The 26,379-nt window shown below is 39.2% G+C and overlaps 2 protein-coding genes across 4 annotated transcripts in view, besides 6 other annotated features; one reads left to right on the top strand and one right to left on the bottom strand.

Moving 5' to 3' along the window:
- Positions 1–3,928: 3,928 nt before the first annotated feature.
- On the bottom strand, positions 3,929–6,166 carry ZNF830 (zinc finger protein 830). The gene has a single exon (NM_052857.4). It carries the CDS (start codon positions 6,137–6,139, stop codon positions 5,021–5,023), a length of 1,119 nt encoding a protein of 372 aa, NP_443089.3. The 5' UTR covers positions 6,140–6,166; the 3' UTR covers positions 3,929–5,020.
- Positions 5,873–6,122: an enhancer, noted in NCBI's record as "active region_12050". NCBI's record gives its function as "activates an Ori minimal core promoter by ATAC-STARR-seq in GM12878 lymphoblastoid cells {active_cell/tissue: GM12878}" and the evidence as "EXISTENCE:reporter gene assay evidence [ECO:0000049][PMID:35858748]".
- Positions 6,203–6,282: an enhancer, noted in NCBI's record as "active region_12049". NCBI's record gives its function as "activates an Ori minimal core promoter by ATAC-STARR-seq in GM12878 lymphoblastoid cells {active_cell/tissue: GM12878}" and the evidence as "EXISTENCE:reporter gene assay evidence [ECO:0000049][PMID:35858748]".
- CCT6B (chaperonin containing TCP1 subunit 6B) overlaps positions 6,246–26,379 on the top strand; it is a 33,600-nt gene continuing 13,466 nt past the window's right edge. The window contains exons 1-7 of one of the 3 annotated variants that reach the window (NM_006584.4): positions 6,246–6,449; positions 8,056–8,119; positions 9,012–9,146; positions 13,107–13,280; positions 15,653–15,756; positions 24,800–24,910; positions 25,063–25,222. In NM_006584.4, coding sequence (NP_006575.2) covers positions 6,313–6,449; positions 8,056–8,119; positions 9,012–9,146; positions 13,107–13,280; positions 15,653–15,756; positions 24,800–24,910; positions 25,063–25,222 — 885 coding nt within the window. In that variant the 5' untranslated portion in view covers positions 6,246–6,312. The remainder of the gene's footprint in view (positions 6,450–8,055; positions 8,120–9,011; positions 9,147–13,106; positions 13,281–15,652; positions 15,757–24,799; positions 24,911–25,062; positions 25,223–26,379) is intronic. The other 2 variants (NM_001193530.2, NM_001193529.3) reach the window with 2 other exon arrangements.
- Positions 6,333–6,552: an enhancer, noted in NCBI's record as "active region_12048". NCBI's record gives its function as "activates an Ori minimal core promoter by ATAC-STARR-seq in GM12878 lymphoblastoid cells {active_cell/tissue: GM12878}" and the evidence as "EXISTENCE:reporter gene assay evidence [ECO:0000049][PMID:35858748]".
- Positions 6,333–6,716: a biological region, named in NCBI's record as "Sharpr-MPRA regulatory region 18".
- Positions 6,422–6,716: a silencer, noted in NCBI's record as "tiled region #18; HepG2 Repressive non-DNase unmatched - State 1:Tss, and K562 Repressive non-DNase unmatched - State 1:Tss". NCBI's record gives its function as "represses a minimal TATA promoter and a strong SV40 promoter by Sharpr-MPRA in HepG2 and K562 cells {active_cell/tissue: HepG2 | K562}" and the evidence as "EXISTENCE:reporter gene assay evidence [ECO:0000049][PMID:27701403]".
- Positions 6,653–6,702: an enhancer, noted in NCBI's record as "active region_12047". NCBI's record gives its function as "activates an Ori minimal core promoter by ATAC-STARR-seq in GM12878 lymphoblastoid cells {active_cell/tissue: GM12878}" and the evidence as "EXISTENCE:reporter gene assay evidence [ECO:0000049][PMID:35858748]".

Here is a 26,379-nt window from a genome sequence, read left to right as displayed (position 1 = left end):
ATCCCTGAGTACCATGTGGGCTTAATAAGGGCTTGGATTTCTTGCCTACCACCCCGCCCCCCAGTGTGATGGAAGCATATAATGAATGGTTTTAAATGATAGAGTGACTTGATCTAAAATTTTAAGATCATTCTGACTACTCTGTCAGAATAGATTGTGATGAGGGTAGGGGGACAGGCAACAATGAATGAGATGTTGGTGGCTAGGGCCAGTGGAGAAAGAAGTGGACAGATTTTAGGCATATTTTAGAGGTGGAATGGACAGGACTTAACTAGTGCATTAGATTTGAGGGAAAGGAAAGAGAATGAATGATGGCCCCCAGGGTTTGTCTTGAGCGTCTGGGTGGCTAGTGGTGCCATTTACTGAGACAAGTCTCAGTAAAATTTACTCAGTAAAGTTTACTGAGACAAGTTCTCAGTAAACCTGAGAACAGGTTTGAGAAGAAAATCAAAGCTCTGTTTGAGAGTTATTATATTTTGGACACCTATTAAACCTTGAAGTGGAATGTTAGGTAGGTACTGAGCCAAGCCAGAAGCTTAGGTGGAAGGCCAAGGTTGGAGGTATAAATTGGGAATCTTCACTACATAGGTGATATTAAAACCCATAGGAAGGGATCAGATCACTGAGGAAGGAAATGTAGATATAAAATTGAATGCGAGGAGTTCTGAGATTTTTTTTTCCCTGTTCAAACTTTGTTTTTTCTTTTGAGAGACAGAGTCTTGCTTTGTCGCCCAGGCTGGGGTACACTGGTGCGATCTCAGCTCACTGCAACCTCTGACTCCTGGGTTCAAGCGATTCTCCCACCTCAGCTTCCCAAGTAGCTGGGACTACAGGCGTGCACTGCCATGCCCACCTAATTTTTGTATTCATTTATTTACTTATTTTTAGTAGAGATGGGGTTTCACTATATGTTGGCCAGGCTGGTCTCAAACTCCTGACCTCAGGTGATCCGCCTGCCTCGGTCTCCCAAAGTGCTGGGATTATAGGCGTGAGCCACCCAGCCCGGCCCTTGTTCAAATTTAAATCTTCTATACTCCTGGTATTATGCAGGCTAATAGACTATTAGTTTGAAAAAGCAGTCTAAGGTTATCTATCTAGTCATCATTCCTATGAATACTTACTCAAACCCCCGGCACAACATCTAGCCAAACAGCTAGCCAATTGGTGCTTGACAGGAAATACACTATTTCCATTAAGACCTTCCATTCTGTGTTCATCAGAATGAGTCCATGTCTTGCTGGACTCTCACCATACCCCTGTGAGGAATTACATATCTTCATTTTATAGTGGAGCAAACTGAGGCTCAGAGACGTGACTTGGCCAAGCTCATTAACCATTAAAAAGTAGAGTGGAAACTTGAATGCAAGTCTTCTGTTCCATGGTTCTTTGCATTACTACACACTAATCTAGTGATTGTTACTATTAAAGATCTTAGGCCTAAATTACATTTTCTCCTGCAATTTTAATTTCATAGCCTATTTTGTCCCCTGGTGTGTAAAAAGCAGTCATTACTTCCATCAATAAATGAAAATTGTAAGGCACTGGACACATATATATTTGAAGGCTAGTTGGATCAGCATTTTTTTTTCTTCTTTCAAGTTAGGGGTATTGATTTAAATCGATAAGTGAAGTTGGGTGAGAGGATACCTTTATAGCCTTTACACTTCTATATTGTGATGACGGCTGAATTAGGGGGCATTCTAAAAAGAGAAGTGACTGGAGGGAGTCCTTGGGACCAATTCTTACAATTTAGGAACAATGATGGTATTCAGTCAAATGCCGAAACCTATTTGACTTAGCTCAGAGAAAGTATAATAATGGAGCTTTCCAATGTATAAGTGGATCAGGAAAGATGCACTAGCTACTATAGCTGCTTACGCTGACCTCAAATTCAACAAGGATTCATTTGAGCACTGATTATGGTCAGGGCCCCATTTCTACTGCTCCGGAATACAGAGCATTGAGAATCAGATTTTGAGGGCTTTTTGGCCGTCCTAAAAGCCCAACGGGGGTTCACGTGAGTAGTAACACACACCTGGCACTTCTTAAGCACTTCTTTGACTGTGTTACAATTAAGGACTCAATTTACAAGGATAAATTGTTAACTTAGAAAGTTCAAATTCCTTAGAGCTTGGCATTCAAGCTCCTCCACATGTTCCTAATCTACCTTTTCAATCATAATTCCCACTGTTGCCAGGACTGAACCCTCTGCTCTAGTTAAATTGGATGCTCACTACCTCCTGAGCATGTTTATCTTTTCACCTGGATACCTTACTCTTTAGATCTACGCTGTTCTTTATAGTAGCCACTAGTCACATATGGCTATCGAGTACTTGAAGTGTGGCCAGTCTAAACTGAGATGTGCTGTTAGATACACCTAGATTTCAAAAATGTAGTAAAAATAATCAATCTTTAAATATTACATATTGGAACATTAATATTCTGGACATAGATGAAATAAAACACATTAAAACTACTTTCACTTCTTTTTACTTTGGCTACTAGAAAATGTAAAATTTATCTATGGCTTGCATTATATTTTATTTTTTTACTTTTTGAGACAGGGTCACACTGTCACCCATGAGGGAGTGCAGTGGCACAATCACAGCTCACTGCAACCGCCACCTTCCCTGGCACAGGTGATCCTCCCACCTCAGCATCCCAAGCAGCTGGGACTACAGGTGAATGCCACACCTGGATTATTTGTTTATATTTTTTGTAGAGATGGGGTTTTGCCATGTTGCCCAGGCTGGTCTTGAACTTCTGAGCTCAAGTGATCCACCTGCCTCGGATTCCCAAAGTGCTAGGATTACAGGCATGAGCCACCACACCCAGTCGCATTTTATCTTTAGTGGACAGTACTCCACTAGATTGTTGGCCAAGGCAGTACTGGGCCCACCATTCAAACCCATATTTGTACTTTCTTGCTAGAGTAATAGTGATGAATGAAGGGAAAATTCTGAGTAACACTGGGTTCACACATTTGAGGCAAGCAAGCCGTGTCTCATCAAATAGAAGCTGCTATCACTGATCAGCTAGCAGCTCAAGGAGGAAGACTGCCAAAGGCAGCAGGACAATTATTAATAATAATTTGTGGTACACAGCAACTGTTCAGTAAGTGTTAGATAACTCCTTTTAGGCAGTGACACTAAATACAAACAAAATCTTGAATCCCATACTTATCCCTCCTGTTTTTCTTCTTCCACTTCTAGTCACTAAAATTTAGCTATTCTGGCCGGGCGTGGTGGCTCACGCCTGTAATCCCAGCACTTTGGGAGGCCGAGGTGGGCAGATCACGAGGTCGGGAGATTGAGACCATCCTGGCTAACACGGTGAAACCCCGTCTCTACTAAAAAATACAAAAAATTAGCTTGGCGTGGTGGCGGGTGCCTGTAGTCCCGGCTACTCGCGAGGCTGAAGCAGGAGAACGGCGTGAACCTGGGAGGTGGAGCTTGCAGTGAGCCGAGTTTCCGCCACTGCACTCCAGACTGGGCGACAGACCGAGACTCCGTCTCAAAACAAACAAACAAAAAAAACAAACAACAAAAGAATTTAGCTATTCCTATGACATGCTTTCACTTCTATTCCTTTTCTCCCAATCCTCAGCTAATCAGTCTTGTCACCTTGCTTTTGAAAATATAGTTTTCAAATAGCTCCTAGCTTCCTTCTACCCTCCGTGTTCATTCCATTCTATATACTGTTAATAATGTCCCATGATACTTCTTTGCAGATGTAATTCTTTGCTCAAAACCTCCATTTTCATATGAACTTCATCAAAAATTTTCACTTAGCATTCAAGGCTTTTCAAACCTTGTCTCTTGGTACTCCTCTCCATAAAAAAAGACTTTAGGGAAACTAGATTGAGTTAATATATGTAAAGCACTTAGAACCATGCCTGGCCCATACTAAGAAATATATAGGTCTTAGCTATTATTATTATTGCTCACTTTTATTTGAATATGCTGTATGCATTTCAACTCCAGAACACTGCTAATTCCCTTTTCCTATTTGAGTACCTCAATCTCTAAAGGAAGGAGTGATTTAAACTATCAATGACCAGCAAGAGCCAATTGTTACTGCTGGAAAGACAACTTAAATATTCTTTCTACAATAGATAGGACCTGCAAACAAGGAACCCTAATTTACCACCAAATAACAAAATTTAAGGCTGGATGAAATAAATAAAAGATAATATTTTTTCCTTCATTCAAGAAACAGCAAATTTATGGAATGTGTTATTTAAAGAAAAAGAAAAAACCTGAAAAACATAAATGGGTTCTGGATTTAGGGCAGTTACTCTCTAACCCTGGCATATATTAGAATAACCTGGGTGCTTAAAAAACACAGTTGCCTGGGCCCAATCCCAGATTTATTGAAGGGGAAGGCCTCAGACACTTTAATTATTTTAATGCTTCATAGGTGACTCTCATGTGCAACCACATCTGACCATCATTGGTTTGGTCATGTTTGGCATATAGTTTTCTTATGTTTTTAAAATAAAGCACACTAAGAGAACTGATTAACCTACAATGACTTATGTGTTTATGAAGTGTTCTAAAAAACCATACAAAAACCAAAGAAACAAGAAAACAAACCTTTTCAACTTGATGTAGGGTTCAGAAGATACATACATTCCAAATACCACAGTAAGCATTCATCTGAAAGTTTGCCGGTTGGTCTTTCTATTAATTAAAAAAATTCAAAACAGAATACAGATTTAACTATGTACAATATTTACAACTTACAGATTTTACAACGAAATTATACAGTTAAGTCTGTCGTGGAAATGTTGGCATTTTGGTATATAACACTTCAGAAATTTCAAAAACAACTTTACCTCAAAAACATGTTACACAAATTTTCCAAAGTGCTGTAGCTCACTGGCTCATTTTATCTCAACAATCCAGTTTAGCAATCCAGGTACCCAAATCTTGAGGCATGAAGTAACCGCTATACTACTGAGAGACAGCACTTTTTATACAACAGCAGAGGCTGTTAGAAACCTTGGGTCTTTAAAACCCTATAACAATGCCCCTTTCACCCTCCAATCCTGAGACAACAAATCCTGTAGTTCCCCCTCATCATCGCTGTCAGCATTCTCTTCTTCCTTTTTCTGCAGTTCTTTTATGGTCAGGATTTCTTTAAGTTTATTTTTTATTTCATCCTGGCGATTCCGTAGCTTTTCCACCCGTCGGTAACACTCTATCTGCTCATCGATCTCCCCAATCTGGCGGTCCAACCGTCCCTCCTCATCCTCTTCGGCAACTATGGCTTCGGAAATAGTGTTGACCTGCCTCATGGCTTTTTGGAATTCGTCCCACTCTTTGTCCATCTGATCTTTTGGAGCATCAACCTTTCGTACTCTTGCATCTACCTCAGGGTCGTCAAAAAAACCTTCCGGTAACGCTTCCGCGGTGTTTTCTCTCCTTTCCACCACTTTTTCATGTATTTCTGCTTTCTCAATTGACCCTGAATGAGGAATTATGGGGGCCTTGGGAGGATTAGTACTAAAGAAATCGTTTGGCAGCACACTACTTGTTACCTCCCGTGAAGAGGAAACTGAGTGCTCCTTGCCCTGTGCGTCGGAGAGCGGCTTGCTGGCGTCCCCCCTTTTTCTTTCTCCATCTCCTTCCTCCTCCTCTTCCTCCTCCTCCTCATCTTCATAATCGGGGAGTAAACTGAGTCCTGAAGGCTTACTGGGAGTCGCTCTAATGAACTCCTTTCCTATTTTGTCAAAGTTGGTGGTCCACGCAGATGTGGAGGGCTGTACCTGAGGCACCAAGGTGGCCTTCGCTCTCTTGACATCTTGGTCGTCTGCGTCCGGCGCTTTCCTCTTGACGGAATGAGGCGCTGAACTGGCGGACGAACCCTGGCTGGCTTCCTTCGCGCCTTTCAGCTCGGCCACTTTCTCTCGGTGCTGCTTTCCCAGGACGTGAGTCTGCCACAGGAGCTCGCTCTTAACCGGAGTGTTACACAGGGCACAACTCAGCTGCCCCAAACGGTTGTACTTCGCGAATGGAGATTCTATCCGTTTCCGACTGGTGCTCAGACGCTGCTTCTCCTTCATTAACCGCCGCAATTCTTCCTGATTTATCACTCGCTTCCCTGCCGGAGTCCGGGCGGAGGCGGAGGACGCCATCTTGGCGACCAGACCCAAAACGATTCTGGTTTCCGTCGGGCGAGGCATGATAACGTCACTTCCTGTAAGGGCGATGATTGGCCGAGGCTCAAGAGAGCGTGGCGTCGCATTGCCGTTTTTGCTCAGAATCGCGACTAAGGCTTTTTTTTTTTCTCCCTCTGAACGGTTAGGCTATGGCTGCGATAAAGGCCGTCAACTCCAAGGCTGAGGTGGCGCGGGCCCGGGCAGCTTTGGCTGTCAATATATGCGCCGCCCGAGGGCTGCAGGATGTGCTGCGGACCAACTTGGGTCCTAAAGGCACCATGAAAATGTGAGACAGCGGTTGGAGCGGCCATTACGCGGCTAGGGGCCCGTTGGTGTCCTGTCGCCCTCTGAGGCAGGCGTCCGCGTAGCGCTGTGGATGTTCTTGCGAGCTTGATTTCCCTCATTCTCATCCCTGCTCTGGGGGTATTTCTCGCCTGGTGCAGGTGGAGGAGAAAAGCCTCCCCTAGTAGAGGGCCCCGGGAGTGAAGCTGTGGCGCTTCCCCGACCCCCGACTTGTCGTCAAGGTTCATATGCAGTTAGAAAGTCAGTTAATTTAGTGTCTCATTGGAAACAAAGCATTTAACTCCTCTGCTCCTTAAGACTGTATACCCTTGGTCCATAAATTCAACAAGTAGTTTTGTTTTTTGTATGGCAATGTATTGTAGTGGAGAGGACACAGGCTTTGGAGCCAGGAAGGCATGGGGTCAAATCCAAGTTCTACTTGAATACCCCGTGTCTATGGTTGTTCAGATCTATTCATCTTTTCAGTATATATTAAGCACCCTTTTCTATAGACAAGAGTGAGGAAAAGAGACCAGTGAGGGCAAAAGGGTATAAGAGGAGAGACACATCCTCATAGTAATGAACAAAATAATATTAATGGTAAAATAAGTCACTTAGGTACCAGTTGTTGGGACACAGAAATGATCAAGATAACGGTTTCTGTTCTTAAGGAGATGTGGTAGAGACGGATGTGGTAGAGTAGGATGTGCTAATTATATATAGATGCATATAATTATGCTGAAGAAAGGGACTGATGGCAGAAGGAAAAGCATCTTAAGTAACATGTTTGATCAGTCTTGAAAGAAGAATAAGACTTCACTAGTTGGAAGAGGGAGTAAAGGCCTGGGCAAAGTAATTTCAGGAATAAGAAAGACCAATGGTGCAAATCCAACAGAAACGAAACAAAACATGGTATATTAAGGGAACCAGAAGATTTGCTTGTGGAAAAGTAGATGAGGCAGGGAAGATATTGGGAAAGGTCAAGTATGTCATTGCTGTGTTTGGATTTTAACTTGAAAATGATGGAAAACATAAAAATCATTGGAGGACTTTTGATCAGGGAACTGACTGAATCACGTTGCCTTTTAGAAAGAAAAATGTGTGGAGGGTATATTTAAGTTTGGAGATATCCGGATGCCATCCAAAGTAGAGATGATAACAGTGGAGATGGAGAGAAGGTGGCAGATTCAAGAGATATTTAGGTAGTAGAATTGATAGAACTTGGTGATCTAATAAATGCAGGGATGAGGGAAACTAAGTTGAGTGACTGAATGAATGAAAACATTCACCAAAATTAAAACCTGCAGGAAATTTGCGAATTTGTGCTTTGTAGACTTCCAAGTATTCTTTGACCAAACCACAGTTCGTAACTCATCAAGTGCTTTTATCTTTAAACCTGTAAATAGTCCATTTGGAATGAAATCTCCATAATCTGTCCATCTGGGGAGAAATGATTCTGTGAGCTGCAAATGGTGGTAATTACCATGGCATATTCCCATGGTACAGTGGAAGTTTTCCGAGCCCAGTTCCCTCTATTAAGGATAATGGAGTGGCAAGCACTGGGAATGTCTTCCTACCACATGAAGTTAATATCATTCTTCTCTGAACAGGCTTGTTTCTGGTGCAGGTGACATCAAACTCACCAAAGATGGCAATGTGCTGCTCGATGAGATGGTGAGCTGATGCTGCTGACTTTAATAAACCTTAATAAGCCTTAATTAGAAGCATAGTAGAACTTGTGTATCTTTAAGCCAAGGCTGTGAGCTAAATACTGCAGTCTTGAGATATGCTGAAGACTGTTGAATTAGACCTCAATAAAAAAATTTTTTTGGCCGGGTGTGGTAGCTCACTCCTGTAATCCCAACACTTTGGGAGGCTGAGGTGGCCAAATTGCTTGAGCCCAGGAGTTCAAGACCAGGCTGGGCAACATGGTGAAAACCGTCTCTACAAAAAAAAAAAAAAAAAAAAATTTTGCTCAGTGTGGTGACATACGCCTATAGTCCCAGCTACTCTGGAGGCTGAGGTGAGAGGATCACTTGAGCCCAGGAGGCCAAGGCTGCAGTGAATGAGATTGTGCCATTGCACTCCAGCCTGAGTGGCAGAGTGAAACCCTGTCTCAAAAAAAAAAAAAAAAAAAGTTTTTTTTTTTGGCTGTTTCCAAGTCTTTGTATACTTATACATACTTTGTATACTTAGGCATACTTATAAATCAATAATATCTTTTAAGGGCACTGCCTTATGTTCTTTGTAATTATGGAAAAATAAAAATATCCTTTGCAAGTTTAATACATGTATTCATTTTGAGATTGAATGATTTAATCTTATTTTAGAAATGTCATTGCATTCTGAAGCAAAGACTTTTATGAAATGTTCAGGCCTCATTACCTGTCACTTTTAAAATTTTGGACTTGACATTTAGGTATTGATAATACAAAACTTGTAAACTTGTAGAATGAAGCTTATTTCATTTTTTAATTTTGCTACTGACCCCTAGGTTATCTTGCTTTTGGTGACCTACTTCCTTATCTCATCCTGTCTTTTTAAATCTGTTGCTTGCTTTTTCCAGCAAATTCAACATCCAACAGCTTCCTTGATAGCAAAAGTAGCAACAGCTCAGGATGACGTCACAGGAGATGGTACTACTTCAAATGTTCTAATTATTGGAGAGTTATTAAAACAAGCTGACCTGTACATTTCTGAGGTATTAGAATTTCACAGTTTATATGTTATTTTGAATGGCAAATTATTTTTTTAACTAGTAAAATGGTTGAGTTTTAGACAGTTAATTTTGTTTTAATTAATTAATTAATTAATTTTGAGATGGAGTCTCACTGTGTCGCCCAGGCTGGAGTGCAGTGGCAGAATCTTGGCTCACTGCAACCTCCGCCTCCCAGGTTCAATCAATTCTCCTGCTTCAGCTTCCCGAGTAGCTGGGATTACAGGCATGCGCCATCATGCCTGGCTAATGTTTGTATTTTTTTTAGAGACAGGGTTTCACCATCATGGCCAGCCTGGTCTTGAGCTCCTGACCTCAGGTGATCCACCTGCCTGGGCCTCCCAGAGTGCTGGGATTACAGGCATGAGCCACCGTGCCTGGTCTAGACAGTTAATTTTAATTAAGATATTCTTGGACAATTATAAATGGAAATAATAATGAACTTTGTTGGCCAAAATAATGCCTTTCGTTGGAATTATATACCTCTTTTAAAAATGAAATATTTAACGGACCTAAAAAAGTAAAAAATTACCCATGTATCCATGGGTAATTAAGAAAGAAAACACCATAGATAAAGTTGAAACCAAATTATGCACCTTTATAAAACCACTGGAGAAAAATTATTGAAGGTTTTACTTATTGTGAATTTACCTTCCTTTCTAGTTTCATTTTCTTTATAAATCATCTACTTCAGCCAGACTCCTCCGTTCACTGGCCTCTGAAAACATCATGTACATTTTTACCTTTCTCTAATTAAGTATCTCTTTTCTCCATATCTGAATGTTTTCTCTCTTTCAGGGACCATTTCAGCAAAGAGTAACCTAGTCAAAATGATTCTCTGTGTTTCGTTTAGTATTGGGAATTTTCTATTAATTCAGTACTTGCAACTTAGGATGCTTTTGGCTGTAAACAACTTGACTAAAACTCACTTGAACAATAAGGAAATGATTATCTCCCATAATAGAAAATTGAGAGATAAGGGAGACTGTCAGGTTGTGTGATAACAAAATTCAGTCATCAAGTACACAGGTTCTTTGTCTCTTACCTCTTCCACTCACAGTGCTGTTTCATCCTAAGAGTATTTCCATCTTGAAAGTAAGAGGCCAGGTGCGGTGGCTCACACCTGTAATCCCAGCACTTTGGGAGGCCGAGGCAGGTGGATCACCTGAGGTCGGGAGTTCGAGACCAGCCTGACCAACGTGGAGAAACCCTGTCTCTGCTAAAAATACAAAATTAGCCAGGCGTGTTGGTGCACGCCTGTGATCCCAGCTACTCAGGAGGCTGAGGCAGGAGAATTGCTTGAACCCAGGAGGTGGAGATTGCAGTGAGCCAAGATTGTGCCATCATACTCTAGCCTGGGCAACAAGAGTGAAACTCCATCTCAAAAAAAAAAAAAAAAAATGGAAAGAAAAAGGAAAGAAAAAGAAAGTAAGACTGGCTGGGCACAGTGGCTCATGCTTGTAATCCCAGCACTTTGGGAGGCTGAGGCAGGAGGATCACTTGAGCCCAGGAATTTGAGACCAGCCTGGGCAACATAGTGAGACCCTGTCTTTAGAAATAATAAAAAAAAATTAGGCTTGGTGGCATGCTGCATGTGGTCCTGGCTACTTGGGAGGCTGAGGCAGGAGGATTGCCTGAACCCAGGAGGTGGAGGCCGCAGTAAGCCATGATTGCACCAGTGTACTCCAGCCTGGGTGACAGAGTGAGACCCAGTCTCTAAAAGAAAGAGAGAGAGAGAAGAGAGGAGAGAGGAGAGAGAGGACAGAGGAGAGCGAAGAAAGACTGTCAGAGGAAATTAGGCAGAGGGCAAGATAAAGCCATTCAGGAGGCTTTTCTTTAGTATGATTGGGCCAACTTTAGTATTATGTCCATCCCAAGCCAGTAACAGTTTTTATGGGAATTGACTTAGACTAATCAGGATCCACTCCTTGAGCTGGGGATAAGATCAGCTTTCTCCAAAGCACAAGTGGGAGAGGGAAACCCAAACTGAATTAGGGTTGGGTTAGGAAGAAAGGAGTTTGGCAAGGGTGAGATGCTAACAGACATTATGAAACTCTGTGGTGGTGCAGTGATAGAGCCGGGCACAGTATATGATGGAATCACTGAGGCTGGAGGGACGTCCTAAACTAGCCTGAAGTAGTCAGGAAGAACTCTCTGGAGGAAGTAAGGCCTGGCCTAAATCTTCAGGATGAGGAGGAGTGAACCAGACAAAAGAGCAAGGGGTGAGGAGAATGGCTTTCCAGGCAGAAGGAACAACATAAGCAAAGTCACAGAGAAGACAAGCAACATGGTGTTGTATGAAGCTACAAGCATTTTGGTGTTGCTGGAATTTCAGGTGATGTGAACAGTAGTGGAGAAGAGGCTGGAGAGGGAAGTGGGAGCCAGATCAGAGGGCATGTAGTATGCTAACCAAGAAGCTTAGATTTCATCCAGTGGTATTACAGACCAAACATAGAAACATACTAATGACTGATATGGTCAGGTTGGCATTTTAAGTATTTGGGGGATGGTTTTAAGGGAGTCTAGACCAGAGGTTTTCATGATAGTCTGGATGAGAGATTGTGGGGTCCTAGCTTGAAGACATTTTTGAAAATGGTTAATAACATAGGCTCTAAAGTCAGGTCTCATGGGTTTAAACAACCTGGTTTCACTTCTTATTATCTTGGTGATCTAAGGCAAATTACATTATCCCTTTAAGCCTCGGTCTTCTCATCTGTGAAATAGGAAAAATAATAATAATAATACCCACTTCATGATGTGGCTAGAGAATTAAATAACTTGTGTAAAACTCTTAGTCATGTCCAGCACAAATACTCAATGTCAACTTTTAAAGATTATTAAGGATTGATGTAAAGAAAAGTAGTAAGGGAATGAATTAGACCAAGTGCTAGCTTTCACAAAGTTTGTGTATTATTTTATGGAACAAAAAATACTATTAAAATATTTTTTCATAATTTTAGACCTATAGAAAAGTTGCAAACATACTACAAAGAATTCCTGTATACTTTTTACCCAGATTCTTCAAGCATTTTCATTTCTCTCATTGCCTGCTTGCCCTGTTCTCTTCCTTAGTATCAGTGTACTTATTCTTTTCTAAACTGTATGTTGCAGACATGATCTAAATATTTCAGTGTATATTTCTTAAAACCAGGGAATTATATAATTGCAGTATAGTTATAAAAACCAGGAAATTAATAATAACATTAACACATTGATACATTACTGTTATCTAATCTGCATTCTATTCAAACTTCACCACTTATATTAATAGTGCTCTTTATAGAAAAAAAAGATCTAAGTTCATGCATTGCACTCAGTTGTCGTGTTCCTTTAGTATCCTTTAAGCTAGACTAGTTCCTGAGCTGCCTTTTATGCTTCATGATATTGCTACTTTTAAGCCATTTATTTTGTAGAAAGTCCCTCAGTGTGGATTTGCCTATTTCCTCAATTAAACTTAGGTTACAGATTGTTGGCCAAAATACCATAGAACTGTTGTGTTCTACTGAATGCATCATGTCAGCAGGCATGTGATGCCTGTCTGTCTCATTATTGTGATGTTAACTTTGATCACTTGGTGAAGTGGTAGACACCACAGTGTTCTATCTGCCACTTTTCCCCAATTCAGTGGTGGTTCTTTTCCTCTGCATTGAAAGGAATCTTTTTATGTGTGCCCATTCAGAAGGGCACCACATAACAACAATGTAGTCATAATTTTTGGAAATAAAAAGGACTTCTGTAATTTTTAATACTAGACTTGAAGCCTTACTGTTAAGGTTGAGATTATTTCAAGTATGAAGCACTAAAATGACTTTTATAAATTATGTACACTTATATTTCATGGCATTAATGTGAGTAACTTTTTTTGAACATAATAATCAGACAGGTTGGTTACTTTTACATTGGGTGACTTATTTTATAATTTATAATTTTATGTTGATGTAACAGGGCCTGCACCCTAGAATAATAGCTGAAGGATTTGAAGCTGCAAAGATAAAAGCACTTGAAGTTTTGGAGGAAGTTAAAGTGACAAAGGAGATGAAAAGAAAAATCCTCTTAGATGTAGCTAGAACATCATTACAAACTAAAGTTCATGCTGAACTGGCTGATGTCTTAACAGAGGTATGTTATTAAACTTTTGCATTCAGAACAAATATAGCCTAATGCATGGTGATATTTTTCTTTTTCTGTAAGATAATCAAGTATTTCATGTGGTTTTTTGGGCATAAAATATGGAAGACAGACAATTATTGTATAGGCCTAACTGTAGATTAGATTTGACTGGTCAGAACAGTATTTGTAATTTTCAGAAGTATCATACTAGGCCTTTTTTTAAACGTGACTTGAAAGGTGGGAGAGGTTTGGCTGCCTGCAGATCATCTCCTGTGGAAGCTCTTGAATAGTATACTGGTCTTTTTAAATCTAGCAGTCCATATTTTATTATGTGAGGTGACACACAAGATAGTTGTTTTAGCAGTGTACCTTGTAGATAAGGTTACCAATATAATGAAATGTGATATGATATATTAATATATTAATATTCACATATTGGAAATGTATGTTTGTTTAGTTTATTTCTTTTATTAATTTATTTGAGACAGAGTCTTACTCTGTCACTCAGGCTGGAGTGCAGTGTCATGATCTCAGCTCACTGCAACCCCCGTCTCCCAGGTTCAAACGATTCTCCTACATCAGCCTCCCGAGTAGCTGGGATTACAGGCGCGTGCCACCACGCCTGGCTAATTTCTGTATTTTTAGTAGAGATGGGGTCTCACTATGTTACCAAAGCTTGTCTTGAACTCCTGACCTCAAATGATACACCCACCTCGGGCTTCCAAAGTGCTGGGATTACAGGCATGAAGTCACCACATCTGGCCAGTGTTTTGTTTATTTCTAAAGGTAGAATATATGTTATATAGGCTGGGCATGGTGGCTCATGCTTGTAATCCCAGCACTTTAGGAGGCCGAGGTGGGGAGACGACCTGAGGTCAGGAGTTTGAGACCAGCCTGGCCAACATGGTGAAATCCTGTCTGTACTCAAAATACAAAAATTAGCTGGGCATGTTAGCAGGCACCTGTAATCCCAGCTACTTGGGAGGCTAAGGCAGGAGAATCACTCTGGGAGGGAGGGGGAGGTTGCAGTGAGCTGACATCATGCCATTGCACTCTAGCCTGGGTGACAGAGTGAAACTTTGTCTCAAAAAAATATATATATATATATATATATATTTTATATAAAGACAAGATTGGCTGGATATTTTGGGAAGGCTTTTATCAGGTGGCAATGATTTGATATCATTATTGTTTTTCAGCTTTGTAATTTCTGAAACTTGAATATATTTGTTTACCAGGAAGAATGATAAATTCTTAGGAAACAAATTCACAAGACATTGACATACAAAGCAGAATACTACCTTAATAATTTACTTTGAGAACTACAAATGCCAAATGTACTGGAATACTTGAGTTGTTTCTGATCGATTCTCCTTACCGTTAAAAAAAAACAACTTGGGAAATCAGATTAAGATCAGACAATTTCTTGATGAGCAGAGTCAGAAGAAAGGCTCTGCTGTGTTTTCTGCTGTTAGAGTACTTGAATGGCCCCAAATCTTCATGCTGCTAGGGCACCCATTCTGTTTTAGAGTTACAGAAACAGTGATATTCTCACTATCCAATGGCCTTTGTCCTATTTCTTATTTGCCTCTAAAATAAAATATTATGTCACCTCAGGCAAAGTTTTCTAAGATACAGTTTTTTCTGCTTTATGTATATTTTAGGGTAGTTATAACTTAGCCCTTAATTTCTGCAGTTATTTATTATTTTTATATCATTTTCTGAGCTAAGCAATAAGACGTGTTGTGCTATGCTTCTTAAATTGTATATCCCTGGTCATATGTGACAGAATAAATGAGACGTAGCTTTCTGGAGTGTCAATTTTACTTTACAATTTTGGGGGAAAACATTATTTTTACATTGAGATAAACATATTATGGGATGACATGGAAACTTTTCACGATAAAACATGAGACTTTAACGTTTCCTGTTATTACAGCCAGCAAATTGGAGCTATTACCTTAGATTACCTTTCCTTCTTTTCCATTAAGGTGTCCTTTGGTGGAAAAGTTTGGATAGTCTTGGTATGATAGAAAGAGTAGTCGCTGGGCAGTTAGGGAGCCCTGAATTCTAGTCCCGGCCCTGTTACTAGCTGTTAGATCTTATTTAAAAACTGTGACTTCTTAAGGTCTTATCTCAGTTGCCTTATCTGTAAAATAAAAGGTTTGGACCTAATGATCTCTGAAGTTTCTTTAGACTCTAAAGTGTCTGTTGGCATTGGCTATTGTTAGCATCCATAGTAAAGTGGCACATATTGGTCTTGCCCTAGGTTTTGAATCCTGAAGGCTTTTATCTCCTTAGTCTGGTGATAGATTGTTTGGGCCCTTGGTTTATTTTAGTAGTCCAAATAACTTAACTGTTCTCATTCATTTCTCTTTCAGGTTGTGGTGGATTCTGTTTTGGCTGTTAGAAGACCAGGTTACCCTATTGATCTCTTCATGGTAGAAATAATGGAGATGAAGCATAAATTAGGAACAGATACAAAGTAAATTACATAAGCTTTGACAACATATGGGTTCTAGAATTTTTTAAAGATATTCTTTTATTAAATTCATTACTTACTTTTATTCAACATAAATATATTCATTCACCATATATTAAGTCACTGCTCTAGGTAATGGGAATGAGAGTAAACAGAACAGAATTTCTTTCCCCAAGAAGTTTATGTTTCTAATTGAAATAGAAAAAAAATCATGTGTGTGATTTTATAGTGGACAGGGAAGACTACTCTGATAAGAACCTGGAGAGCTAAGAGGTCTCTGAAGAAACAAGGGAGCTAGCCATGTGCACATCTGGAATAAGAGGGTTCTAAGCAGAAGGAATGACCTCTGAAAGGGTCCTGAGGCAGAAGTGTGACTAGGTTGTTACAGTGTGCCTGGAGCACAGGGAGAGGAGGTGAGGCAAAAGGGACCAGATTATGGAGTACCATGTTGATTTTGGATTTACTCTTTTAAAACTTTGTATTATAGAAAACTGTGAACATATATAGAGAGAACAGAATAGGGAATTTCCACATAACTGTTAGCTATCTTTATCAATTTCTAACATATGAAGCATACCCTTCCCTCTTTCCCCCTCCCACCTAGGATTATTTTGAAGCAAATCCAGACATCATATACCACCTGTAAATATCATATAATCCATAAAACATAAACCCCCTGCTTTTACCTAATATATCCACAAAACATTATAACACCTTAAAAATGAATAACTCATTAATACTATCACATTTCCAGTTTATAGTCTAATTTGTCTAACAGTTGTCTCAGATTTTTTTCAGTTTTGTTTGGATTAAGATCTACGCACAGTCTGTATAGTGCACTTAGGTGATATCTCTTTTAGTCTCTGTTAATTTGTTAATTTGTAGGTTCTTTCTTCCTCTCATTGTTTTTCACCTTGATAATTATTTTGGAAAAGTCTGATTATTTGTCTTGAAGAGTTTTTGTGGGAAGATTTTTGATTACTCATGCAATTTTCTTCTTCTTCTTCTTCTTTTTTTTTTTTTTGAGATGGAGTCTCACTCTGTCCCCCAGGCTGGAGTGCAATGGCGTGATCTTGGCTCACTGCAACCTCCGCCTACTGGGTTCAAGTGATTCCCCTGCCTCAGCCTTCTGAGTAGCTGGGACTACAGGTGTGTGGCACCACGCCTGCCTAATTTTTTGTATTTTAGTAGAGACGGGGTTTCACCATGTTGGCCAGGCTGGTCTCGAACTCCTCACCTTGTGATCCACCCGCCTCGGCCTTCCAAAGTGCTGGGATTAAAGGCGTGAGCCACCACGCCCGGCCCCACTCATGCAATTTTCTTAATGGCTATAGGACTAATTAGGTTTTCTACTTATTTTTTGAATCATTTTGGTAAGTAATGTTTTCTTAGAAATTTGTCCATTTTGTTTAACTCTGAAATTTTTGGTATAAAGTGTTCATAAATATCCTTACTGGCATAAAATTTTTATAAGGATCCTGTTTGCAGGATCTGTAGTGGTATCACCATTTATTTCTGGTGTTATTTATGCCTTTCTTTCCTTGTTGTGATAATTTTTTCCCAGAGGTTTGTTTTCATTTCACAGTGTCTTTCTCTTTATTATTTAATTTACTTTTTTGGAATTTTGTGGGGACTTTTTTGCTGCTTCTGTTTTATTGTGATAGCTACTTAGGTTATTAATTTTCAGTCTCCTGCTTTTGAATACAGTACTTAAGACCTTAAATTTTTCTCAAAGTACTATTCAGCTGCATCCTTCAAGTTTTGATATGTAATCTTATGATTTTTATTCAGTTTAAAATATTTTCTAATTTCAACTAGAAGTGTGTTTCTTAACATGGGGAAATTTTAGTTATCTTATTACTGATACCTAGCTTAATTACATTGTGGTCAGAGAATATGCTCTATGAGATTTTTGCTCCTTTGAAATTTGTTGACACTTGCTTTATGGCTCAGTGTATAGTCAGCTTTTGTTATGTTAATGTTTCATGTACTTGAAAAGAATGTATGCTGCAGTTGGTAGGTACAATTTTATATACATGTCCATTAAGATCAAGGTATCCTGTTAATCCTGTTGTTCAGAACTTCTATATCCTTATTGATGTTTTGACTGCTTATTCTGTCAATTACTGAGTGAAATGTATAAATATCTTTCAATATTATTTTGTACCTGTTTATATTTTACTTTAGTTTTGAGAGTTTTGCTTTATATATCTTGAGACAATCTTTTTAGATGCATAGTTTTTAAACTGTTACATATTTTCTGGTGCATTGAACTTTTGTACTGATATGAAGTGACTTTTTTCTAGTAATGTCTTTAAAAGTATAATTTATCTGATATTGATAATTATATTTAAAAAATCTTTACATGTTAAAAGCTGTTGTACCAGCTAGCTAGCTTCCTTCCTTCCTGCCTTCCTTCCTTCCTTTCCCTCCCTCCCTCCCTCCTTCCTTCTTCCCTCCCTCCCTTTCCTTTCCTTTCTTTTTTTTTTTTTGAGATGGTGTTTCTCTCTTGTTGCCTAGGCTGTAGTGCAATGGTGTGATCTCGACTCACCGCAACCTCTGCCTCCCAGGTTCAAGCAATTCTTCTGCCTCGGCCTCCCTAGTAGCTGGGATTATAGGCATGCGCCATCGTGCCCAGCTAATTTTGTATTTTTTTTTTAGTAGAGATGGGGTTTCTCCATGTTGGTCCGGCTGGTCTTGAACTCCCGACCTCAGGCGATCCGCCCACCTCTGCCTCCCAAAGTGCTGGGATTGTAGGCATGAGCCACCGTGCTCGGCCTTTTCTTTTCTTTTCTATGATTTTCTCCTTTTCTTTTCTATGCTTTTCTCCTTTTCTTTTCTTTTCTCTTTTCTTTTCCCTCCCCTCCCCTCCCCTCCCCTCCCCCTTCCCTTCCTTTCCGTTCCTTTCTTTTTTTTCTGAGACAGGGTCTTGCTCTGTCACCCAGGCTAGAGGGCAGTGGCACAATTACAGCTCACTGCAGCCTTGACCACCTGGGCTCAAGTGATCCTCCCACCTTAGCCTCTTGAGTAGCTGGGACTACAGATATGCGCCACCATGTCTGGCTAATTTTTATATTTTTTTTGTCAAGACAGGGTTTTGCCATGTTGCCCAGGCTGGTCTCAAATTCCTGAGCTGGAGGGATCCACCTGCTTGGCCTCCCAAAGTGCTGTGATTACAGAACAGAATGAGCCACCATGCCAGGTCCATCCAGTTTTGTTTTGTTTTTTTTTTTTTTTTTAGATGGAGTTTCACTCTTGTTACCCAGGCTGGAGTGCAATGGCGTGATCTTGGCTCACTGCAATCTCTGCCTCCTGGGTTCAAGTGATTCCCCTGCCTTAGCCTCCCAAGTAGCTGGTATTGCGGGCATGTGCCAAAACATTCAGCTAATTTTGTATTTTTAGTAGAGATGGAGTTTCACCATGTTGGTCAGGCTGGTCTCAAACTCCTGACCTCAAGTGATCCACCCTCCTCGGCCTCCCAAAGTGCTGGGATTACAGGCATGAGCCACTGTGCCCGGCCCAGTTTTCTTTTAATTAGTATTTGCCTGTCATATCTTTGTGTATGTTTTTACTTTCAGTCTTTCTCTCTTTACATGATTTTTTGTGTCATATAGGTAGATTAAAATATTAAATCTGATACTCTTTATTAACAGGAGCATTTAATCCTTTATATTTAATACAGTTATGGATATATTTGATTTAAAATTTAACATCTTAACAGTGGACTTTGGGGACCCCGGGGGGAAGGGTGGGAGAAGGATGAGGGATAAAAGACTACACATTGGGTAGAGTGTACACTGCTTGGGTGATGGGTGCACCGAAATCTAAGAAATCACCACTAAAGAACTTAGTCATGTAACCAAACACCACCTGTTCCCCAAAAAGCTATTACAATAAAAAAAGCAAATTAAAAAGTTTGCCATCTTGTTTTATACTTTCTACTTAGCCTTACTTCTTTTTCTTTTTTTTTTTTTTTTGAGACGGAGTGTCACTCTGTCACCAGGCTGGAGTGCAGTGGCTTGATCTCGGCTCACTGCAACTTCCGCTTGCCAGGTTCAAGTGATTCCCTCAGCCTTCCGAGTAGCTGGGACTACAGGCGTGCACCACCACACCCATCTAATTTTTTGTATTTTAGTAGAGACGTGGTTTCACCATGTTGGCCAGGCTGGTTTTGAACTCCTGACATCAAGCAATCCACCTACCTTGGCCTCCCAAAGTGCTGGGATTACAGGTGTGAGCCACCGCGCCCAGCCATCTGTGTAGCTTTTTGCATCTCAGCCTTCCATTTGGGATTCCTTTTCTTCTGCCTAAAGTTCATCCTGTAGATTTTCCTTAGTGATAGTTTGTTGGAGGCATACTTTCAGTTTTTCTTTGCCTGAAAATGCCTTTATCTTTATTCTTTGATACTTTCATTGTGTGTTTACTAGGTTGGCAGTTAGTTTCTTTCAGCTGATTGAAGATATTGTTCTGTTGCTTTCTAGCTTTCATTATTGCTGTACAGAAATTAGCCATGAGTCCTTTATAGCCATGAGTCCTTTATTTACCTAGGTGATGTTAAGATATTTCTCTTTGTCTTTGGTGTTGTATACTTTTACTATGATGTAGCTAGGTATGGATTTCTTTTTGTTTATTCTGGTTGGCATTTTCTGGCTTTTTGAGTGCTATCGTTTATCTGATTCTGGAAAATTTCCATCCATTATCTGTTTAAACATTTCTTTTGTTCATCCCTTCTTCTCCTTCTCCAGTTAAATGTATGCTTGATGTTCTTAATTTAGTTTTTTATGTACTTTTTGTCTTGCTGTCTTTCGTGTTGCATTCTGGATAATTTCTAGTGATATATTTTGTTGTTTGCTAATTTTCTCTTAAACAATGTCTACTCTACTTTAAAACCAGTCCCTTGATTTAAAAATAAACTTTCTAATGAAGTGTAACACACACTGAAAAATGCAACTATCATAGCAATATGACTTGATTAATTTTCCAAATGTATCTGTGTAATCAGCACTCTCACAAGAAACAGAACTACTAGTACCTTAAAAGCCCCTCTTTTGCTTCCTTTCAGCCATATTTCTTCTAGAGTAGTCTGAATTTCTGCGGCATAGATTGTTATATGTTTTGTACTTGTATAAGGAATCATAAGGTAGGTACTCTTTGTTTCTGACCTTTTTCATTTAGCATTGTTTGTGAGACTCATTTGTATTTTTGTGTGATTAGTAGATTGGTCATTCTCTTTGCTATTTAGTATTTTCTTGTGTTAATATACCACAGTTTATTCATTCTGCTGTTCATTGGCATTTAGGTAGTTTGCATTTTTTGCCCATTATTAATAGTGCTGCTATAAACATTGTAATATTCTTTTATTAGACATATGGATTTATGTCTGTTGTTTTCTTGAATTTTTTATATCTGTGTGTATATGTGTGGATATCCTTATTTACTATTTATAGAAGTTCTATTTGGTTCTTTCTTAAATCTGCCACGTTACCTTTTATGGTGTTCTATTCCTTGCAAATCTTTCCAAACTTGCCCTTTTTTCTTTCTTTAAACATATGTTTAATATGTTCATGTTTGATAATTATAATATCTAAAGTTTTGACTTGTCCCTTTCTGGTGTTTATTATATTTTACTGGTTCTCACTCATCATGCTTTGTGTTCATATGTGCCATTCATTGTGCTTGAAAAACGTATTGGTAGAAATAATTTGAGACCTAGAATGAAGCTGCCTTTCTGCAGAGAGGATTTGCATTTGTTGCCTCCCTAGGGACTAATTTAAATTAAATTCACAGCTTAGGTTTTTGGGAATATCCATTTGATATGAATTCCGATTGTAAGTCCATGTGAGGGCTGATTATTTCTAGCTCTTCCTTCTGGATAATCCTGAGTATGTAGCCCTTTGTGGTTCCAACTTAATGTGAAGAGGGTCTCCTGTAAACACTCCACCTTGGATGAGCTCTGTGCTTTTCATTCTGTTTTCTTCTCATTGTGAAGACATTGAAACCGAAGTTCAGATTTGCCTGGATTGTCAAATGACTTTAAGATAAAAGAACCTACTGATCCTGCAGTTCTCTACTTACCTGTTGGAGTTTCTGTTTTATTTCAGTTTTGGCCTTGTGATTATATACTATCTTATAGCTCTTCAATGTTGCTAAGGTTTTTTTGCTTTTAAGCCAGCATGTTTAGTTGTTTTTGATAGTAGGACTGATCTCAGTTAGCCTACTATTGCTGAGGATAACAAGTTCTTGATTTATACTTCAGAAGGTTATCTGTGGTTTTTGTGTGGGGAATACACACAAAACGGCTGATTGGGAGATAAAAGAGGGCCAAAGGCAGAAACCAGAGACCAGTTAGGAATGTTGGTATACTACAAGTGAGAAATGAAAATGGTTTGGATTAGGATGTACTTAGAAGGAAAGGGCAATAGGATTTGTTGAGGGTTCAACATAGGACATGACAGAAATAGAGCGGTCAGAGATATCTCTTGGGCTTTTTCATGATCAGCAGGAAAAGTGGAGGTGCTGTTTCTTGAGATGGAGAAGACTAGGAGGAGCAGATTTGGGGAGATAAATCAAGAGTTCAGTTTGGGAATGTTATGTTTGAGATGCCTATTAGGCATCCATATGGAGATGTTGATTAGGAATTTGGAGAGATGTGTCTCGAATTCAGAATAGAGGTCTGCACTAGAAGTATGTATTTGAGAATCATTAGTGTATAAATGACTTAAAGCCATGAGTTAATGAGACCATCTGGGAAGTGAATATAGTAAAGGAAGTTTAAAGCATGATCCCTAGGAACTTGGATGTTTAGAGTTTGAAAAGATGAGGTGGATTCAGCAAAAGGGAGTGAGAAGGGGGCAGTCAAGGAGGCATTAAAGCCAAGGGAGAGTGGTGTCCCAGAAGCCAAAGGAAGAAAGTCTTTCAAGGAGACAATAATCAGCTGTGTCATATGCTGCTGAAAGTTTGAGTACATTGCCGTGAACTGAGAGTTGATTGTTATATTTGGAAAACATTTACTTTTTTTTTCTTTTTTGAGACGGAGTCTCGCTCTGTCGCCCAGGCTGGAGTCCAGTGGCGCGATCGCGGCTCACTGCAAGCTCTGCCTTCTGGGCTTACGCCATTCTCCTGCCTCAGCCTCCCAAGTAGCTGGGACTACAGGTGCCTGCCACCAGGCCCGACTAATTTTTTGTATTTTTAGTAGAGATGGGGTTTCACCGTGTTAGCCAGGATGGTCTCGATCTCCTGACCTCATGATCCGCCTGCCTCGGCCTCCCAAAGTGCTGGGATTACAGGCGTGAGCCGCCGCGCCTGGCTGGAAAACATTTACTTTTTTAGTGGCTTTAATGAGAGCTGATTGAATAAAGAGGTGGAAATAAAAGTCAGATTGAAGGTGGCTCAAGAGAGAATGGTAACTGAGAGAAGTGTAGTTATGAAGGAGAACAGAGAAATGGGGCAGTAGCTAGAAGGGAATATGGGAATGGGGCTGAGGGAGAAGGATTTTTTGTATTAATGATAGGAATTGTTACTGCAAGTTTGTATGCTGGTAAGGATGGTTCTTTAGGTGAGAATTGATATAGGGGACTAGGGGACAGTGCAAGAACAGAGAGGGAAATGGAATCCAGTACACAAGTAGAGAGGCTACCCATAGAGAGGAACATGGACAGCTCATTCATAGTAGTAGGAGGTTCAGGGTCAAGTGCAAGTGGATTGGTAGAGGTAGTAATGGGACAATGTTTCTATTTTCTCAAAGAAACAATGTCATTTGCTGACAGTAGGGAGGGAGGAAAGTGAAGGAGGCTTGAAGAGTGAGGAATGTTGAACATAGTGTTATTGTTTCTAGATATGTTTACATTCTGTTAAGAGGTGGAGTAATCTAGTTAAAGTAAAATTTTGAAAACTTCCTTATAATTATGTTGAACTAAAATAGTTTAAAAATATATAACAAAAATTAGTTATAAAGGATTCATAAGTAGAAATTCCATCCCCTGAATGTTTTGTAAATGAATTTTATAAAGTTATAAAAATATTGACTCTTGAAAGATTATTTGGAAAACAGGAAGAAACACCTCCTTTCCAAATCATCTATATTCCTACTACCCAGGCATAACCCCTACTCTTAGGTCCCTCCCATTTTTTTTCTTTTTAATGCCAAGTTGTTTTTTTTTTTAAATTTATTTATTTATTTATATTTTTTATTATACTTTAAGTTTTAGAGTACATGTGCACAACGTGCAGGTTTGTTACATATGTATACTTGTGCCATGTTGGTGTGCTGCACCCATTAACTCATCATTTAACATTAGGTATATCTCCTAATGCTATCCCTCCCCGCTTCCCCCACCCCACAACAGGCCCCGGTGTGTGATGTTCCCCTTCCTTGTCTGTTGTTAAAAAGAACAGTTATAGGCATGCTTCATATGCAATTTGTCATTCTATGCTTATCAGCTAGCCCTATAAATATTTTTCCATGTTATTACATACTTTTTATAACCATCAAATAGTTGGGTCATTATTTGCTGAATAATACCCTATTGTTGGACATTTAGGTTAACAATTTTTAGTTGTTCCATATAATCATTTTGAATAAATGTTCCTAAGAAACTCATTGTATACGTACCTTTCATTACTTGATAAGCTGTGTCATATTTTTGAATCACATAACTTAGAAAATAATTCTGGCTTGACTTTTTATTGTGACTTCATAGTCACACTGTGTTAAAGTAGATTCTCTTTCCTAATTTTACTAATTATATGTTAGGTTTAAAGTCAATGCAAGGAGGTGGGTGAGGTGGTGCACTCCTTTAGTCCCAGCTACTTGGGAGGCTGAGGCAGGAGGATTGCTTGAGCCCAGGAGTTCGTGGCCAGCCTGGACATCATAGCAAGACCCCCATCTCTGAAAACAAAAAACAAAAACACCAAAAACTGTTAAAATTGGTACAAGGAAACAATGTGTGTCCTGGAAGTATTGATGTAACTTTAATAGTACAATGATAATTTTATACCAAATTTTAGAGTATATATTCAAAGTAAGAAACATTAATATTTTTAATAGGTTGATCCAAGGATTAGTTTTGGATCATGGTGCCCGTCATCCAGATATGAAGAAGCGAGTAGAAGATGCATTTATCCTTATTTGCAACGTTTCACTGGAATATGAAAAAACGTGCGTGTTACTTTCTCTTTATAACTTTTGAATTTTTTTTTCTAAAGGTGTTTTAAAATCTCTTTTTCCTTCCAGATGTTTGGTGTAGACTACTTCTATCTTTTTTCCTTTTTCCTCCTGCCTTTACTAGCTGGTTTTTATTAATCTTTTAGAGAGGTGAACTCTGGTTTCTTTTATAAGACTGCAGAAGAGAAAGAGAAATTGGTAAAAGCTGAAAGAAAATTTATTGAAGATAGAGTACAAAAAATAATAGACCTGAAGGACAAAGTCTGTGCTCAGTCAAATAAAGGATTTGTCGTCATTAATCAAAAGGTGAGAAAGAAAGTTTAGATTTTAGTTATTTGTAAATGTTCTTAAGCATTTCTTGAAGTGTGGTCTGTGGACCCCTAAGAATCCCTAAGACTTTTTCAGAGAGTCTGTGAGGTCAAAAACTATTTTCATAATAATAATTACACCTTTTACATTGTGTTGACATTTGCAATGATGCTGCAAAAGCAATCTGTAAAACTGCTGGCACCTTAGTACAAGTCAAAGAAGTAGCACCAAACTATACTAGTAGTCATCGCATTCTTTATTGCTATACCACTGCAAACTTACAGTGAAAAAAAAAAAAGGCAGTATCATTTAAGAGTGTCTTGATGAAGTGGTAAAACTTATTAATTTATTAAATTTTGATTCTGAAATATGCATCCTTTTATTATTATGTGTGACAAAATATGAAGTATGCACAAAGCACTGTTTTTTTTTTTTCTTTTGAGACAGGGTCTTGTTCTGTCATCCAAGCTGGAGTGCTTGGGTGGCACCATCATAGCTCACTACAGCGTTGACCTCCTGGGCCCAAGTGATCTTTCCACCTCAGCTTCCCAAGTAGCCAGGACTACAGGTGTGCATCACCATGCCTGGCTAATTTTTAAGTTTTTTCGTAGAGGCTGGGTATTGCCATGTTGTGCAGGCTGGTCTCAAGTGATCCTCTTGGCTTGGCCTCCCAAAGTGTTGGGATTATGGGGCTGGGAACTTCAAAGCTCTTCTATTGCATACCAAAATATGATGGTTGTCTTGAAGGAGAGCACTTGTGTAATTGTTTAAATTGCAAGGTAAACTAGCCACTTTTTCATGGAATGCCACTTTTACCTGGAAGAATGACTGACAGACAAACTGTGGTTATCTAGATATGGGTATTTGGTAGATTTCTCTCAAAAATGAATGAGGAAATTCTGTGACTTAAAACAACTGACAGTATTTGTTGTCAATAACATTTGAACTTTTTTAAAAAATTAGAATTTCAGAAAACTTGTATCTGCCATGTGAACTTGACAGCTTTCCAATACTTAAAAGACTTTCCTGATAATAGTAGTGATATTAACAAATGTGAGTTTTTGTTCACTGAGATAGGCAAAGTTTCCACATGCATAACATGACACAGTTTCTACATGTATAACACAACATTTTATATATGAAATGTGTCAACA

This window comes from Homo sapiens, chromosome 17 (genome assembly GCF_000001405.40).
Source record: "Homo sapiens chromosome 17, GRCh38.p14 Primary Assembly".
NCBI lineage: Eukaryota > Metazoa > Chordata > Mammalia > Primates > Hominidae > Homo > Homo sapiens.
Note: the sequence above shows the minus strand (reverse complement) of the source record. Positions and strands in the feature narration are given on the sequence as shown.

Coding starts and splice junctions, on each gene's coding strand:
- ZNF830 (NM_052857.4), bottom strand. CDS start 6,139: ATGGCGTCCTCCGCCTCCGCCCGGACTCCGGCAGGGAAGCGAGTGATA.